Here is a 15,640-nt window from a genome sequence, read left to right on the forward strand (position 1 = left end):
AAACGGGCGCTGCGCGCGTAGCCGCCGCCACGCTGACCTCCCGCTCCAGCTGGCTGCTGCTCGGAGCCCTAGCAGCGGGCGAAGGCGGAGGCCCAGAAGGGCAGGAGACCGCCGCGACAGGAGCCCGAGGGTCCGTATGGCTTCTCCTCGCCGGCGGGTGCTGTGCGCCACGGAGCTCGCCAAAGGCGCTTCGGGCTCGGAGCGGCTCTGAGCCGCGCCGCCTGCTGAGATCGACCGCCTGCTGAGCCGTTCCGTGGAGCTGCGGGCAGGAACCCGAGGAGCAGGAGGTGGCGGCGGCGGCAGTGGCTGTTCCTCCCAGAGGGCGATGTGGCCGGCCGGCGCGGGCACCAAGCTGCCCTGTCCCCGAGACTCTGCGCTCCGGCGGGCGGCTTTCTCTGGGAACCTCACGGCCCTGCCCTCTCACCTCGTGCCCGCCGGCCGCAGCGTCCGGGTCTTCATCAGCGCCAACCCTGAAGGTACGTCCCTCGCTCGGGTTTGCCCGTCCGTCCTTCTGTCCGTCAGCGCTGCGGGAGCTGGAGAGTGTGTGTCCGCCCCACAGCCCGGTGCGCCCTGCGCTCCCTTCCTCCAGCTAAAGCCGTGGCCGCCCTGAGCGCGTGGGAATTTAATTTGAATCACTTTTTTTCTCCCCTCGCTGGCCGGTTTTGCCTGCACACTTCTATTAGGACACCCATTCTCCACCCCGGGTTATTCCCCTGGGTCAATCCAAGAAACATCCAAGGCATTAGCCGGCCCTTCTGGAAGCTCCATTCTGCCGCCGCCGCCACCACCACCTCCTGTCCCCCGCCCTTTTTTTTTTTTTTAAAGCGGTTTCTTCTCCGAGATGACCGCAAACACAAACAGTAGCTCTCCTCCCCGAGGCGGGTTCCTGAGTGCGGGGCTACCTCCTTGGCCACTTTTTCCAGCTGAGGCGAGGTGAGTTCCTTGAGACTCTCCTCCTGCAGGTGCGATGGTGCCCTTTGCAGAGGCCAAGCAGACTTTTGTGAACCGGAGGTCGAGGGGGACACCCTCTGTGGGTCCCGGAACAGGCTTCGCGGTGGGGCGCGCAGGATGGGCTCATCTCAGTTGGGTCACAGGGCTTGGTCTTCTGTATCTAAAACTTGGCCTACTCAGTCATGTTCCTGCTTAAGGCACCTGGTAGGCACTCCATGAAAACTTGTTGATTTCTTGTTGCATTCACAACCACAGAGGTTGAACGCTGGGCGGTCAAATCCTGGCTCATCACTACCTTCCAGTCCTTAGTCCTCAACGTTAGATTTCATTCCCAGTAATTGGGGAGTTGGGGAAGGAAAGATGTATTTGACTGGGGCAGGATAAAACTGCAGGAATTGCTCTTTTCTAGGAAAAAAAATGTTTGGCTATGAGTCCATGGGAGACTGACAGAGGTGAAAGATTTGAGAATTAACGTTTTCTGCACTCTAACAAGCCTTGAGTCGAAAAGAGTCGAGGAGAAAAGTCCACATTCAAACGATCATTGGATATAATTCTCATTTGAAAACCCAAGGTTCTGGTTTCTTGAAAAAGCTTTCGGAGAAGACCAACAAAAGTAACTTTCTAGAAAATTACCGTTTCGGAAAAAATAGCACTAGCAGAAGTCTGAGGTAAAGCTTACATTATGAGAAGGAGTTGGGGAGAGAATCAAAACGATAACATGCACTAATTAGTATTAGAAAGACGATATACTCTTGGGGGACGGCACGACTGTCCTTTTATCAGTTTACAGTTCACTTTCAAAGAACTTAAGGAGGCTTTTAGGATGATATGGTACACTCAAAAAATCATTGTATCTCAAAGATGTCGTCTAGGATTTGTACCTATATCTGGATTTAAAGAAAAAAAATGGAGATATTCAGCCTATTTAAGGCAATCTGCGACTTAAGGGTTGAGGGTTACTTCTTTAAAATATTGCTAGAACATTTTTAAGTGAGAGAATTATGTTAGAAAATGTTTAAATGTTAGACATTTTTAGTTCTGAGCTTTTAAAAAAGTCATGTGAAATGTGTTTCAATCTGCTGATGTGAAGCTAGCTAAATCACTCTTTTTCTTTAAACTTGTGGCTTCTAAAATACAATAAGAATTCTGCTAATATGTGTAATTTTTTTCTTGCTGTCTAGATTTGCAATTTCTAAGATAAAAACGATACTGAATTTATACTATCAGCTTAATATTGAGTTAGTACTCAAGGTTAATGTCATTTTTTTAAGCCTGTCCATATGATTCTTCAAATTTCCTAGTTTCTTCGAATAAAAGCTTTAGCACAGATTAACCCTAGGAAAGCAAACAGGAGGGAGGAGCCAGTCATGCCCCTTGGCTACGGTTTGAGCTGGACAGCTTCCACAAGGATCTTAACAAACAAAACAGAAATGTGAAGCTTACCTGGGAAGTTTCAATAGGGGCAGGATCTCAGATTTTATCCAAATTGGAGAGCGGATGGCATATTAAATAAAAAAGACAGATGGGCATTTTTAATGATCTGAACGTGAAGCCTTAAAATCTTGGTAAATGCTCTGTCAGAGGCAGCACTTGACCGTGGGATCTTTATGGATGCAATTTAGAAAGCAAATGCCTGTGTTTTGGTATGATCCAATATTAGATTCTTGGCCAATACTGAAGAGCCTCTCTACTGTCAAATTAAGACAAAGAACATTATCTCATGCTTTCCTTTACTAGCGGAAATCCAATTTATGTTCTAAATAAAAGCTGCTTTGTGTTGAACTCACAGCAATACTCAGAACCCAGCAAGGATTTTGCTTGGAGTATTGTTTTAATAGGTAGTGCTTTACAAGGCTTGCATGGAATTTCCCCATCGGTAACGAAGATAATAGAATGAAATAGATAATAGAATGAATAGAATTTTTTTTTTTTTGAGACAGAGTCTCGCTCTTGTCACCCAGGCTGGAGTGCAGTGGCGCAATCTCGGCTCACTGCAACCTCCACCTCCCGGCTCCAAGCTATTCTCCTGCCTCAGCCTCCAGAGTAGCTGGGATTACAGGTGCCCACCACTACGCCCGGCTAACTTTTGTACTTTTAGTAGCAACGGGGTTTCGTCATGTTAGCCAGGCTGGTCTCAAACTCCTGACCTCAGGTGATCCACCTGCCTCAGCCTCCCAAAGTGCTGGGATTACAGGTGTGAGCCACCGCACCTAACCGTAGAATTTCTTTAGAATGAAAAAATTACTTTCCCATATATTAGTTCATTCAATATTTTCATTTTGTTTTCTATCCTCAAACAACCCTCTGAGGGTAGTGGACCAGGGGTGTTCCATCTATTCTACGGATGAGATTACTGAGGCTGTATCAAATTATACCACTTGCCAGAATTCATATAGCAGAGTGAAAGAGTAGAGCCTATAGGACCCTGACAACACTTGATATTCTCTTGTCCAGCCTAGGCTCTTGACAGATCTCTGTGAAATATCTCACACCACGTGGGCAAGACAATACAGATAGGGGGATAAGCACTGTCCAGCATCTTCTGGCTGTCAGACTTAAAGAGTATGAACAGCTGGCAGGGAACATGGCTATGCTGACCCACTTTGCTCCCACCAAGAGGTAGTCCGAGGCATTCAAGGAAATTTCAAAATGTGCTGGACTCTAATTGACACATTCTTGTCCAGAAGTGTATCTGCCTCTGACTAGTCCCCACCTCATGGAAGATGCTGGAGAAGGACCCATGTGGGGGAGGTGATAGCATTATCCCAGATTTTTTTAAGTGGATGGGCCTTGGACTTCATCTAGTTCCACCTCCCACCCAACATAGAAATTCCATCTGTGACATCTTCATCAATCCTTGGAAGTTTTCTAGTCATTTAGCTACTGTACTTCTGCCAGAACAGCACTTATAGCTCCTTGGAAAGATGATTTTAAAACCCACATAAAATCCTTTACTGTGATTAGCCTAAATAGTCCATGCATATGGAGATGAAAGGAACCTGCGAGATTCTCTCCCTGTTATTAGAGTGTAAAGGCCCTCCTCTTCTCTGTCTTGATTCTTTATCAGTTTATAGGAAGGTACAGTCTTAACACAGAAGGAAGACCAAAATATCACTTTTATTACTGATGAAAACAGTGCAGGTCCACAATCCATTATCTGTGATCATCTGGGCCAGATGTGATTTTGGAATCTCTTTTTTCAGATTTTGAGGAAAAATACTTACGCTCTAATATGTGGGTTCTGGGGTAACAACCCATGTCGGATATGAATAGGTGTATAAGGAAACATGAGTTCACTCTAAGTCAGTGTTATACAGAACTTTCTGTGATGCTGGAAATGTCTATCTGATATGGTAACACTAGCCACATAGGGCTATTGAGCATTTGAAATGTGGCTAGTATGACTAAGAATATGAATTTTTAATTTTATACAATTTTAATGGATTTGAATTTAAATAGACACATGTGGCTGTTGTATCAGATAGCAAAGCTCCAAGAGGAGTGATACAGATTTTAAGTAGCTTCATGTCAGTCAAGGTCAGGTTTGGCCATCAAGGACTCAGGTTACTTCAAGTTTTGCTACCAGATGGATTGGGGAAAACCTTTTATGTTCAAAGCTTTGGAGATTTTTGGAATTGCAGGTAAAAGATACAGACTTTTGTTGGAGAATATGGTTTTAACTCTGGGCAAGGGAGTTTCCCAATATTGAACCCAAGAATTAGACAGGCTTTACTCCCAGTCATTGTCAGCAGTGGGCAGAGCACAGACCACTCTCCCTGGCTCGTGGACAGAGTAGATCCCTTTAAACCTTAACACATGGAGGAGTGGAGGAGAATGGCAATTTTACGAGAAAGAAAGCAGAGGCTGGGCTATTGTGGTCAGATTTTCCTTCCAACTGCAGCCATAAGATTAAGATACTTCTCCCCTAAGGAGTAACTGACAGCATCCTACACTAGTGCATTGCCCTCTGCATGCAAAAAGATATCTGAAGTGGAGAAAAATATATTTTAACACTTAATGCATTTTTCTGTCCACTCAGATTTCTGTGCTGGTCATTATTGAGAGTCATGAACTCTTGTCCACAGTGTTGATCAGGTGTTCATACCATTACTACTTGGTTTTCTTTTGTCTGCATGGCTTTGCATCTTCCCAGACTCTTCATGCCTTTGGGGTCTCCATAGGAAGGTTTGTTCTCCGTTACAGTGGAAGTAACAGCAAGAGACATGCTTTCCCTTTATATGTGTACATGGGTTCATTTGCTACAACTAGTGCTCAATTGCTTGAACTTGCTTCCCCACACAAAAGGCAGACATATCTGCATTAAGAAATTCACGTGAAACCTATCAGTATTCTTCATCATTATTCTTCTTACTTTTCCTACTATCCTGATTATTTCTGTGGCGCCCTTTTTATTGTCTTTATGAGTAGTGGAAAAAATACAGCAAAAAGCATATATGTGTGTGTATACACACACACACACACACACACACACAGCCATTTGGATACAAGAACATCTTTAAAACCTAAGTTGTCAGGGGGAATATACTGAGTTGCTATATTATGATAAATGCACATAGGACATTTAGAGTAAATGAGTTCTAAAATTTTAGTGGTTGTATCTTCTAAGTCCTGAAGCAGACGTTATTCAAGTGGAGAAATTATTAGATACAGATATTTATAGCTAGACTTGGGAGCCAGGTTTCCTGCATTTAAATCCTCAATCCACAATTTAATGCTGTGATTTCTTGAGCAAGTTGCTTAACTTGTTTTGAGTTTCCCAATTTGTAAAAGAAGTCAATGATATCACCTGTCTCACAGAGTTATTGAGTAGATTACATAAGCTAATAGATGTGAGGCACTTAGGACAGTGCTGGGCATGTAGTAAATATTAAATACATGTTTGCTATTTTTATCATTATTATCTTTATTACATTCTACCATGATCCAGACACTGTGCAGGCATGTTTAAGCAAATATAAATATATCCTGCCCTCAAGGAATGCAGTCTATAGAGGCATATAAATTAGAACTCACTACAGTCATGCATTGCTTAATGACAGGGATATGTTCTGGGAAATGTGTCCTTAGTCAATTTTGTCATTGTATGAACATCGTAGTGTACTCACACCAACCTAGATGATACCGTTTACTATACACGTAGGTCATATGGTAAAGCCTACTGCTCCTAGTCTACAAACCTGTATAGCATGTTATTGTACTGAATACTGAATAGGCAATTGTAACAGAAGGGTAAGTATTTGTGTATCTAGACATACCTAAACATAGTAAAGGTACCGTTGGCTGGATGCAGTGGCTCACGCCTATAATCCCAGCACTTTGGGATACCAAGGTGAGTGGGCGGATCACTTGAGGTCAGGAATTCGAGACCAGCCTGGCCAGCATGGTGAAACCCCGTCTCTACTAAAAATACAAAAATTAGCTGAGCATGGTGGTGGGCGCCTGTAATCCCAGCTACTTGGGAGGCTGAGGCAGGAGAAATGCTTGAGCCTGGGAGGCAGAGGCAGCAGTGAGCTGAGATCACACCACTGCACTCCAGCCTAGGTGACAGAGACTCCATCTCAATAAATAAACATCATAAAGGTACTGTAAAAATACACTATTATAATCTTATGGGACCACTGTTATATACGTGGTTTATTCTTAACTGGTATGTCATTATGTGGCACATGACTGTAGTAAAATACAAACTACCCCAGATCTTTCATGGAATTAGGTGCTTCCAAAAATCATTATAGAGGTTGGAGGAGCAAAAGTCAGGGGTACCACTGGGTGTTTAGTTCATATTGTCAAAGCTGCCACCCAGAGGGCAGAAAACTGTAGAAGCCATTGCCAGTATCACAGCTGCCCCTGAGTACTGGGTAGCTGCTCAGCCTCTGCAGAAACACATTTGTTGAAACCTGCATGTTAGCCACTATGACTCCTGGTGAAGGAACTTTGTTCTCCAGATCTTATGCAGGTGCATCCCTTTGGTAGAACCAGAATTGCATTTGGACCCTAGCAACAAGCAAGTCTAGGAACTTCAGGCTTTCAGCCCCTACAGTACTAAGGAGATAGATAATGGAGGGAAGAGATAATGAATAATCAACACCAAGAGATAGTATCTAGCCAGGGGGAAGCAGATGCATTCACTCACTCAAGCAGTAAATATTCACGAAGCAACTACTCTATATGGAGTGCTGTTCTGGTGCTTAGCATACAGAAAAGTGAACAAAACAGACTAGGTCTCTGCTCTTAGGGTATTTACATAAATAATACATATGTGACGAGCACTGTGCTAATGATATGAACGGAGCATTAAAGGAGCACCAAGGAGGGTTATGTAAACCAACTCGAGGTGTGGAGGGGGTCAGAATGAGGGGTTAGTTTGGCTTTCCCGATAATGAATAGAGCCAGGGTATGGAAACTATTCTGCATGATAATCAAATATGAGGCAGAGTGATGATGAGATCTCCACAGGGAATAGAAAGAAATAGTCTTTATCATTCAGCAGAAAGCTTTTATCATTTTGAATAGAAGTGGAACTGATGTCTTGAGGTGATATTATTGTTTGCTCTTGAAGGTGGCTCATTTAAAATGACATTTGGAAGAAAGGATGACTTGGACTATAAAGGTAAACTATATACATGACTTTGCAGTTTAAAAAAATCAGCTTATGGATCTTTTAAAATTCTTCTGTAAGCAGTGTATATCAGAGCAATGATACCATTTGCTATTTGAAAAGGTGTGTGAAGGTTTCTATTTTATTTCTCTTTCAGTTATCTATTGCTATGTATCTACTCATCCCAAACCTGAGTGGCTTAAAACAACAATGATTTCTTTCTCACAGTTCTGTGGTTGGTATTTTGGGCAAGGCTTGGCTGGGTGGCTCTTCTGTTCCATGGGGTATTGAATTGAGTTACTCATTCAGCTTCTTTCAGCTAAGCCTAGACTTGGCTGGGCTGGAAGGTCCCAGCAGGCTTCATTTACATGTCTGGCACCCAGTTCTCCTCCATGAGGGTATTCTCTCCATCTCCAGCTTTTCGCTCATCTTTCAGGAGTCCAGCCCAAGATTCCTTATAGGGGATTGGCTTCCTCAGAGAAAGGAAATGGAAGCTGCCCATCCTCTTAAGGCCTGGGCTTGGAAGTCCCAGAATGTTTATTTTGCTGCATTCTGTCATCAGTGCAAGTTATCAGTCTAGTCTAGATTCAAGGTGGGGAGAATTAGACCCCATTTATTAATGTGAGAAGAAGTATGTGCATACAGGGAAAGGAGGAATTAATAGTAGCTGACTTTAAAAATTACCACAACCCCCCCCCCTTATGTTTTGCAGTTTCTTTGACCTCCCTTTGTTATAATTAGATTATGTGAGATAACAAGAGCATAATCCAGGGGCACTGCAAGTATGATAGTAAGTCCTCAACAAGTGTTAATAATTATTGTCATCATTACTATGTGTTATTGAAAACTGAGAATAACTCAGTAAATAGCACCCTTCTTCCCCTCTCAAGTTCTGAACTAACTGAAAATCAGTTTCTGTTAAAAAGACTAAAGAGTTTGCAGATAGAAGATCAAAATATCACCATTTTTCCTGATAAAGATAATGGAGAATGCCTTCATGCATCCTAATACTAAATAGCAGAATTAGATATTCTTCTAGCCACTCACTGGAGGTGGTGGACCTCCAGAGACCCTCCATCCTGTGGCCTGCTCCAGAAACAAGGAGCCTGGAGGAGAGAATGAAGCCATGCTCCCCGGAACAGGTCATGTCCCAAGGGATAGAAGTGAGCAGATGGGCAGAGATTGTCTGGTTTCTTCTTCCTTTGCTTTCCAGTTCTGGGAAGGTTAAATGAGGTAAAGGGAGTCCAGGAGGTCCTCGTTACATCACAGCCCATTACCTCATATAAAGAAGACAATGAGGTACAAGCTACTAAAGATAATAGCAGGAATGATATACATGTATCTGTACACATGTTTCAGATATTCAGTATCAGAATACATCCGTAAGGTAAGTTCTTAGCACGGCCTTGGGAAAAGTCACATATTTCTCTATAAATAAGTTGTTTAAAGCCACTAAGTTTTGAAGTAGATTGATATGCAGCAATAGATAATGGGCAAATTAAAAAAGTAAAAACTCACAAGCACTTTTTAAAATGGCAAATGATGATTCTACAGAGTAACAGGAAGTAATTAGGTTTGATAAAGTAAGCCTAAGGTTCTTCTTTTTTTTATCCATCCTTAGCAAACTAACACAGTAACAGAAAACCAAATACCGCATGTTCTAACTTATAAATGGGAGCTAAATGATAAGAACAAGTGGACACATAGAGGGCAACAACACACACTGGGGCGTTTTGGAGGGTGGAGACTGGGAGGAGGAAGAGGATCAGGAAAAATAACTAATGGGTAGTATGCTTAATAGCTGGGTAATGAAATAATCTGTACAACCAACCGCCCATGACACATGTTTACCTGTGTAACAAACCTGCACTTGTATCCTGAACTTAAAAGTTTAAAAAAATCAGGCTGGGCATATCAACATTTGTTGAAATACTAAAAGTTCCATTTTGTTGAGAAATCCCTGGCAATATGTATTTCACTGATACAGTAGGAAAATGTCAAAAAGCAACCACCTTTGAGCTCTAAGCATTGATGAATTCCTATCCAAAACAGCTGCAGAAGATCTGTAATACCAGCATTCAGACATTAAAAATAATCTGTTTATAAACATAAAGCAACTATAATAAACCAGGCAGCTTAAAGTTCCACTCAATTTTTTTTAAGTTTTACTCATAATGGTCATGTTATTTAAATAAATGTAAAACTTGTAGCAGTGGCTTAAAAGCATATGTAGGTACTGAGATATGCAATCAGTGTAGAAGGAAATGTGATATTAACTTAAAGACACTCTTGCATCACTTCTTCAAAGCTTTAGCTTCCATTGCAATTTTTGTTGAAACCAAACAGGATTCATTCTGCACATTAAAGTGTGTTGGTTAATGTATAATTAGAAAAAAGAGTAATGTGATAGAAAGTTAATAAAAAAAGATGAAAAACTGCAGCTTGGATGCAATTCAAAGAGAATAATACCCCCCTTCTAATGAAATACTTCCTTGAAATCTCATTTTCAATCCAAAATATTTCAAAGACTGTGAAATGGCACACTCAAAACAAAGAGCAGAGCACAGATGTCAGGTGTATTATTCCTAGAGTATTACGGAATTTCACTCGGATGAAACCACAAAATTGAAAGCATATCCTTCATAATATTTAATCTGATCTATTACATGCAGTGTCATTCAAAGAGTTTCTTGCCGCAGAACGTCTCCTTCAGGTTTTATTCTTAGCATCAACTGCAGTATTTATTAGATACCCATTGTGCACTAGCAAACACCTAATTGGTTGGTGTGGAAAGTTAGAAAGGGAGTAAAAATGACAGTATGTGCTGCTGTCTTTATTCTTCAGACTCACACATCTAAGAGGCAGGACAAACAACTATAAAAACTACAGACACTGCCGTTGTGAAAGGGATGTTTACATTCAAAGGCTGATTGGAATAATTGGAATCAGCTTGTATCTGATATCCCGGTGTGGCATGAGCTGTTCAAATTTAGCCAAAAGGGAAAGACTGAGAAGGATCAGACCTAAAAATCACCCTTCTACTGTAGAGGGGTGGCCAGTGGGGAACTGCTCCTGCCATATGTAAGAAGAGTGAGTCCAGATCCAAGGGAGGGCACAGCTTTTGAAAGGGAAAGCATCTGATACCAAGGAGCCTGATAGAATCTGAAGGGTTACCCAGTGAGTGAGCAAAGCCTGGGCTGAAATGTGTTTAATTTATCTGAGTGTCAGAAGAGTAGGGTTTATTTAGATAAAAATTGAAGGAGTTTTGGCAGGTACAGAGTCTGAATATCTTGGGCACAAAGTTCCCTTTCTGAAGTGGGGACTTGTGAAGGAGAATAGGGTAGCAGAAAGTGTCTGGCAAAAACAATAGGATCCCAGCCCCTAATCATAAGGGAGGACTGAGGCCCTGGGACAATGTACAAATCTGCTCTTGGGATTAGAACCCAAGGCCAGAACTGCAGCCTGAGTGATATGACCCTGAGTCCCAGAGGGTTGGGACAGAAATAATACTAAACATTTCCTGGTTAAGGTTACTATTGAGCCCAGAGAGTGGGACCAGCCACCACTACAGGTGGCACGAGCTGTGGTTCCCAGTGTGTCAGAGGATGGATGCAGAAGCCAGGAAGGGTTATTCAGTTAGAACAAGGGATTTTGAAAAATATTTGAAAGATGAGAAATACTTAATTGTCATAGTTGGAAAAGAAATGTTCCCAAAAGAGTAGGACATATCCTGGAAGTCGGGTAAGTCTAATTTCTGAATCAGTAGCAGTGCTTTTGGAATACATTAGAGAGAAGGCTGTGGGGCCATATTCAGGCTCAGTGGAAAACAGCAGTGATTAGTAATGTCTGCTGTGGAATGAGGGCTGGTCTGTATCCTTATGTGTGCAGTATATATGTGACTGTGGACACTTGGGGTAGAGGAATGGAGCAGTGTAAACAACCAAGAGAAGGCTTTTGTTTTGTTTTATTTGGGCAAAGCAGAGAAGACAAGTCAGAGGAAAATAAGAAAATTTTTCCCAAGAAATAACTGGTGAGAAATTCCCTTGCCCAGATGACAGAACTGGTAAAATCACAGCTTTCTAAAGGGAGAAGAATGTGTTGAAACTGTTAAATAGACTGAAAAATCTACTTACATGAGGTGGAACCTGCATGTGAGTTTGTTGCTAAGCAAAGAGTAGCTTCAGAAGAGATCACACTCGATTGATGATATTCTAGAAGACTCTAATTAAAATGGAATTCAGAAACTACTGAAGGCACTGTGTGATAAGGAAAGTTAACCACAGTTATCAAATGCTTAAAAAAAGATAATCTGCTACCGACACTGAAAAGGAGACTTGAAAATAACAAATTCCTTTACGAGCCCATTTGTTTTAAAATTCAGAAGTCTAAATCTATTTACAGAAGCAATTTCAGTAACAATAAGAATATGTAGGGAAAAGAAAGATCCAAAGCTCTCTCTCTCCTCTAAGAAGCTACCATTTGGAGGTTTTACCCAAAAAAGGATAAGAGCATTCATAAATTGGGAGATTTCACAATTTAGTGAAATCACTGACATGCTGGAAATTTAGGGTTTTGCAATCTGGCCCTAGAAATTTGGGGCTCTCTTATTAAGAGGTGGGATCTATGACTTCTCCCCTTGAATCTGGGCTCTGATTTGGCCAATAGAATATAGGAGAAGTGTCACTGTACCAGATTTGGGGCCCAGGAACTCAGAGATTGGCCACTTCCACTTTCTGTCTTTTGAAACACTGATTTTTAGAACCTCACTGCCCCATGGACGGACCCTGTGGAAAGGAGGCCACAGCCAGCACCACCTGGCCAACAAGGAGAATGAGCCATCTTGGAGGTAGATCTTCACCCCCGTTGAGCTTCCCCAGCTGACTGTGGCCGTGTGGTGTGGAGACCAGCCTTCCCACCTAAACCTGCCCAAGGTGCAGGTGCAAGGGTTAAAAGGAATGACTGTTGTTTTAAGCCACTGATTTGGTTTTGTTATGCAGCAATACATAAATTAATAAAAGAAAACAAACATTATAATGTGTCCTAAGAATGAAGAAGTTGAAAGTTAGATTCAGGTTTGAATCCCAAGATTTTCCCAGACTTGGGTAAGATACTTAGTCTTCTTAGGCTCATTTCTCAACTGAAAAATTGGAGCAATAATACCTATCTCACAAGGCAGTGGTGAGAAAGAAATGAAATGCTACACCTAGGCATCTAAAACAATGCCTGAAAGATACTAAGGACTTAAAAATTATAGGTCAGAATTTGTTAAAAGCTCTAGAATATAGAGTTATAACAGTTTTATGGAAATGAGAATTCCTTGAATAACTTCCTTCTTAAAAAAACTATAGCACAAAATGGGTCATTATTCTCAAATCATGCCACCTATATGATCATATATGCTTTTAGCTAGAAGGGATCTGCTGTTTACCAGATTTTTAAAATGATGATTTAATTACATGAATTCAGCCCAAACTATAAAATATTAAGTTAATAAGTTACATCTCTAAATAATAGAGCAGAAACTAGCTGATTTTTCAAAAAGCTACCTACCAAAAAGGACAACTCTTTTGAAACCACAGGTAGCCAACAGAGTTCAATAAAATGACATTCAAAGAATAAAAAGTTTGCACTTTCACCATTTAATGTCAGATGTGCTAAATTCTTATAGTAAAAAATTATTTCTTTCACTCAAAGAATTCCTTTAATGTTGCTTTAAACCTACATAAAAGTTCATATATCATTTTTCTGATCCTGTTAATCTTTTAGACCGTAATGCATAGTTTGCTTAAGTTCAGATTTGCATAGTTTTGCTCATAGTTCCAAAGAGCCTGTGGTTCCCACATCTATGTGGGAAATACCACACTGGATAAAAATGAGCAGCCACTATTCTCTAGGAAGGATTTTGGTACAAATCTCTTGCATGATTAAAAGACTATTTAATTCCAAGTAGTTAACTATTATTGAATGACCCAACCAACTTTCACTGTAAGTTGATCATTCTTATTGTGTTCTTGTAATGGTTATTGAAAGCTCACATTATAGTGACTAAAGAGCATTTGTGCTCCTAGAGGTGCAGATGTTTGGAGTTGGAGGTGGTTGCAGGAGATGGGTCTTTTGAGTGAGTCAGTGAACGGGGCTGGGCATAGGTGGATGATGACTTGAATCTAGAAAGTGTTAATCATTTATTTGTTAATTCAAGCTTGCAGATCTCAGAGTAAAATGGAATGAGGGAGAAGGCCCAGACATCCAGGAGTTTTGAAACAGAAATGAGTTTTGTGATTAAGTTTGGAATTTGAAAAGGTCTAGAAACTGAGGCAGTCCAGCCTCTCCAGGACAGTGAGACAGTCTTGAGTGTCAGCAGGTGGAGGAAGGCAAGGAGCCTGGTTTCCTGAATGTAGCCAGTGTGCTTATCTGAAGAAGAGGAAATATGGGGCTCAGCTAAATGCTTTGGTTCTTTTGCTGAGATTTTTTTAAATATTTGAAACTCATTCTCTGTCCCTTGTGCTTACTATTTAATTGTTTTGTTTTCCCTTACCATTTTTCTTTTGGAAAATTAGTCTTAACTATGTCAAGGGAAAAGATGGATTTCACTTTTGCTGATATCACAAGTAGGATCAAGGCAGACCCATGCTGTGGAGACTGCTCCAGTGGGTGGGTAAGCACAGGGAGTCCCCTCTTAACACTCCACGGACCTCAAAATGGGTGTGTAAATTTTCTCTCTGCTAGCACCTGCACCTGCAAGGGGGATGGCAGTGCAGATTTCAAGGACATGAGTTTCATTTGATACCAGAGCATGTTAGAATCCTAGCACCATAATCTAGATTATGCACTGCCCAGTGTTTATGAGCTGTGTAACCTGGGGCAGGTTCTAGAACCCTGAGTCTCCGTTTTCTCATCTGTTGAAAAGAAATGCAACTCTATGTTTTATATCTTATGCAGTTATGTGGATTCAATTCTGCTGAAGTAAACATACAGTGAACCCTATATAAAAGCAAAGCATTGCTGTTTGCTTAAAACTTTTCCAAATATGTAAGACTTAAACTGCCTTATAAGCCAATATTGTGGTACAGTATTATTAGCATTTAATACACAAAATAGGTGCTCAGTAAATACTTGCTGAATTTTTAAATACCTAAGAAACAGTGAAGAGGAGGTCATGGCATGAAGTGTCTTCCTCGTGACCTGAGTCCTGGACATTCCTGCAGGGCCTGGGACAGCAGGGCCCACTTTAGGTTACACATCTCATCCCTCTCATGTCCCTGTCCCTGTTGCTGCCAGTAGATGTAACCATCTGTCAATATACCAACCACTTTATGCCTGAGGCTACCCTGTTACTTTACCCCAGCTTGACAGGGCCTCACCTAGAGGACAGCAGGATCCCCACGGGGATGGTTATAGAGATGCAGCCCTAGAGTTCCCACCCCTGGAGACCAGAGCTCCCAACCAGCCGCAATCCATGGATGTTGCTCCCCAAGTTCTACCGTAGTGCCAGGAGAAAAGGCAGAGAGTGGGAGGAGAAGGATGTCTTCCTCCCCTCCAGGGAAGGAGCCACTGAGGGAAGAAGAGAGATGAGATTTCCGTGAAACTAGAGAACAGCAGTGAAGTTTTAAATTCCCATGCCTTTCTGGCAGGAGCAATGAGAAATCGAATACTGTTTGTACTATGGTCTGGCTGCATTATGACTTTGGGGACAAGTTAGGAACCTTGCCACTCTCTATAACATTATTTTTATGGGCAGTTTCATTTTGTGTTCCATTTAAATCATGTACCATCAGGCTTGTGTCACAGCCATTTAGAAGGGAGCAATTGGAGCATTTTCACTAGAGAGCGTTCTTGTTTTCCAATAGTGTCATGTGTGCATGAGGTGTGACGTTCTTGTCCTTGAGATAACATGAGGGGAAGAGGGCATGAAATGGACTGAAACATCTTGGCTTCTACTTCTGGTTTATACAGTAGCTCTGTGACCATGGGCATTCTCTCTGGGACTCTCATTTTTCTCATCTGTAGAATGAGGTGGTTGACAAACAGGTTCTCTGGGGCCTCTTTGAGCTGCAGTATTGCATTATTCCA

General features: G+C 41.8%; 1 protein-coding gene across 1 annotated transcript in view; it reads left to right on the plus strand.

Moving 5' to 3' along the window:
* NWD2 (NACHT and WD repeat domain containing 2) overlaps window positions 1–15,640 on the plus strand; it is a 204,721-nt gene continuing 189,081 nt past the window's right edge. The window contains exon 1 of the mRNA NM_001144990.2: window positions 1–476. Within this exon, the coding sequence (NP_001138462.1) occupies window positions 326–476 (151 nt within the window). The 5' untranslated portion in view covers window positions 1–325. The remainder of the gene's footprint in view (window positions 477–15,640) is intronic.

The sequence above is a fragment of the Homo sapiens genome, chromosome 4 (assembly GCF_000001405.40).
Source record: "Homo sapiens chromosome 4, GRCh38.p14 Primary Assembly".
Taxonomy (NCBI): domain Eukaryota; kingdom Metazoa; phylum Chordata; class Mammalia; order Primates; family Hominidae; genus Homo; species Homo sapiens.